The sequence below is a fragment of the Homo sapiens genome, chromosome 12 (assembly GCF_000001405.40).
Source record: "Homo sapiens chromosome 12, GRCh38.p14 Primary Assembly".
Lineage (NCBI taxonomy): Eukaryota > Metazoa > Chordata > Mammalia > Primates > Hominidae > Homo > Homo sapiens.
The window spans coordinates 52164175-52167697 of NC_000012.12; the positions used below are offsets into that span (position 1 = coordinate 52164175).

At 50.6% G+C, this 3523-nt stretch overlaps 1 annotated feature.

Annotated features, from left to right (window-relative positions):
• Positions 1–170: an enhancer, noted in NCBI's record as "experimental_28931 CRE fragment used in MPRA reporter constructs". NCBI's record gives its function as "activates a minimal promoter by MPRAs in K562 erythroleukemia cells, with activity observed for the introgressed 12:52558044 variant allele {active_cell/tissue: K562}" and the evidence as "EXISTENCE:reporter gene assay evidence [ECO:0000049][PMID:34662402]".

The window sequence follows — 3523 nt, forward strand, 5'->3', positions numbered from 1 at the left end:
AGTCAGCTCCAGAAGGGAAGGGGGCGTTGGGCCACTTCCCTCACCCTCTCCAGTCCTCAGCTCCCCTGAGACAGGTCTCGGAGCCCTGGCCTCTCTTGTGGGGAAGGGGGCAGGTGAGGCTGGCTGACTGTGTGGACACTTGCCTGATCACTTCAAGTCAAGCCACCTGGGCCAGGCTGATTCCAACCTGACTAGGGATAAGGTGAAAAGGGGAACGGCTCTCAAAGTTTAGCGTGCTTACTATTTTGTCATTATTAAGCACTTACCATGTGCCAGGCACTGTGCTAAATTCTTTTTTTTTTTTTTTTTGAGACGGAGTCTCACTCTGTCAACCAGGCTGGGGTGCAATGGTGCAGTCTCGGTTCACTGCAAGCTCCGCCTCCCAGATTCAAGCGAATCTCCCGCCTCAGCCTCCCGAGTAGCTGGGACTACAGGCGCCCGCCACCATGCTTGGCTAATTTTTGTACTTTTAGTAGAGACCGGGGTTTCACCATGTTGGCCAGGTTGGTCTTGAACTCCTGACCTCAAGTAATCTGCCCGCCTCGGCCTCCTAAAGTGCTGGGATTACAGGTGTGAGCCACCGCACAGGCCGCTAAATTCTTTTATCATGTATCATCGCTTTAAAGCTTCACAACAAATCTACGAAGCAGACAGACGCTGTTTACCTCCTGGAGGCTATCCAAGACCACACAGCTGGAACCAGGGTTTGCTCTACAGACCATGGTCTCAGCGACGATCACTGCTGCCTCCTGGGCAGGGACCACCCGAGGAACTGAGGTGGGTAGGCAGGCTAAACAGAATTTCATGGTATTGGCGTAGAAGGGATCTGCGGGGTCACTCAGTCTAACATCTTTATTTACAGATGAAGGAAACTCCAGAGAGGGACGTGACTTGCCCCAGGTCCCACACAGCACAGGGCTGACCAGAACTGGGGGGACTTGGGCACAACAGGGAGCCCCAGGCCAGATCCTGGCTACCCCACATCAGTTCAGAGGCGCTTGAGGGCAAGGACCCCATTTCACCCTTTATTCCCTCCTTCTGCCCCACTGTGCCGACCACAGGGTGGAGCACAGAGTAGGTGCTCAAAATATCTTTGGCGATGGACCCACCTCTCATCCCTCTGCAGCTGCAGCCCCCGGCCACTTAGGCCTCTGTTCATGTAGCCAGCATTTAGTAAGTGCCAACTGCATTCTTGGCGCACTACCGGACACTGGGGGACACAGCTGAGTAAGATGCAGTCCCTGCACCAGTTGGCTTACACCTTGTGGGGGCTTCAGGGGTCACCCCACATTACAACGTGTGCTCCCAAGTTTTCCTCATTCTCAACTCAGGTTTCCCCTGCTCCTGTCTGTTAACTCACAGCCCCAGGCTGAAGGCTGAGCAAATCCCTTCCACTTCCCTCCCTTGGGCCGTTTCCACTCCCTTCCTCTTTGCTAGCCCCGTCACCCCTCCTTCCCAGCAGCCTCCTCCCCTCCTCCAGGAAGCCCTCTTTGACTAACTTCCCCAGCAGTTCTGCAGGCCCCAGTGCTGAGGTCTCGAGCTCTGCCCAGGCGGCTCTGGTTGTGTCTGTCTCTCTGCTTCTGTGTGGGTCTCCCTCATCATCTCTGGAGGACAAGGACAACTTTCCCCGCCCCCAGCTATTTTCCCTCAGGCCGGAACAGATGAGGAGAAGGAGCAGGAGGGGAGTGTGCAGCCAGCCTGCAGCACACAGGGCCTGCCTTGGGTTCTGGTCCTGGGTCTTTCTTGGAGGTTTCTCTAGAGCCACCAGGGCACTGACTTGCCAGTCCTGGCACAAGGCCTCTGAGCTCTCATCTAGGCTGAGCCTGGGGAGTTGGGCTGGGCACCACCTCTTGGGTGCCTGCTTGAACCCACCTACATTTTGTGTTTCAGTCTCTGCCTCACCAACTCTTAGGTTTGATCATTTTTTCTGCCCCTATGGCAGGCAGTCTGCAGGTAAGAAATCGTTCCAGGCAACCACAATGCTTCCTTTCGCCTGCCTGGTGACCAAAGTTACGGTGCTTGGCCACTCTGAGTCTCAGCTGATGACAGGAGAAAGAGCCAAACCTGTACAGGGGCTTATTGTTGTAGCCAGAGGAAGGCTGGCACGGTTGGCCAGGGGTTCGCTGAACAACTCAGGAGGACAGGAGTGGGGAGGAGGAGAGAGGAGGTAGTTCTGTATGAGAAGGGGGATCAGACTCTGCACCTTTCAGAAACGGTTTAGGATTTGCTAGCCTGAAAGGGGCAGGAGCACCTCCTCGTTTGGGTAGGGAAGACCTTGTTTCCTCCCATCTGTTCATTCATCCTGCACACACTCACTCTGTTCCTTCAAAGTCCAGGCATTGCACCAGCACCTGGGACCCAAAGGTCAAGAAGACATGTCCTCACCTTTGTAGGACTTTTAGGCTAGAGATCTTGGCTGGGGAGGGACATTGCTCATTCATCCTTTCATTCATTTTGCATTTATTGAACACCTACTATGTGGCAGGCACTGTGTAAGGCCTTGGGAAGGCAGTAGGACATGATCTCTGCCCTCAAGGAGTTTAGAGTCTTCTGGGGATAAAAGTCACAAAAGCAGGTGACTGAAGCACTGCTTAAGTACAGGAGTGGGGAGTCAAGGATACAGAGAGAAATGTTGGATGGATTTAATGTCCCCCTTAGTATCCAGAGCAGGGCCAGTCACAGGCTAAGTATGTGTTCAATAAGTGTTTGTGAAATGAAGGACCCATGTGTGGGTCATAAGTTTCTAAAAACTTATGAGTCAAAGAATCAAGTCGTTGTAACTATACAATAAAAATTCTACAAATGAAAATGACTGGAAGCAGTCAAATGATACTTAGAGGAAAATTTATGGTCTTCAAAGCATCTTATATTAAAAAAGATGATAGAAAATTCAAGCATTTAACTCAAGAAGCTGAAAAACAATAAAAATAATAAACTCAAAGAAAATAGGAAGGAAATAACAAATACGTCATTTAATTCTTTTATTTTTTCTTTTTTAAAATTTTTTTGAGATGGGGTCTTACTCTGTTGCCCAGGCTGGAGTGCAGTGGGTGTGATCATAGCTCACTGCAGCCTCCAACCCCTGGGCTCAAGCGATCCTTTGCCTCAGCCTCCCAGGTAGCTAGGACTACAGGTGCTTGCCACCATACCTGGCTAATTTTTTTTTTTTTCATAGAGACAGGGTCTTGTTATGTTGACTAGGTGGTCTCGAACTCCTGGGCTTAAGCAATCTTTCTACCTCGGCCTCCCAAAGTGCTGGGATTTCAGGTATAGCCATCACCTGGCCTCATGAAATTCTTGACTATGAAATTCATATTCATATTCAGAAATTCAAACTCTGACTCAGAAATTAATAAAACAGAAAACAGAGATAAAATGAGAGAGCTGGTCTCAGCTCTAGGCCTCTCTTGGACGGGTATGTGGCTTATCAGTCTCTTCAGAGTTTTGAGAGTGGAGCCTGCCCTTCAGGGTCTTCAGGAGAATGGATAAACTCAAGCCTCTGAACTTTAGCCCAGGGGCCTGG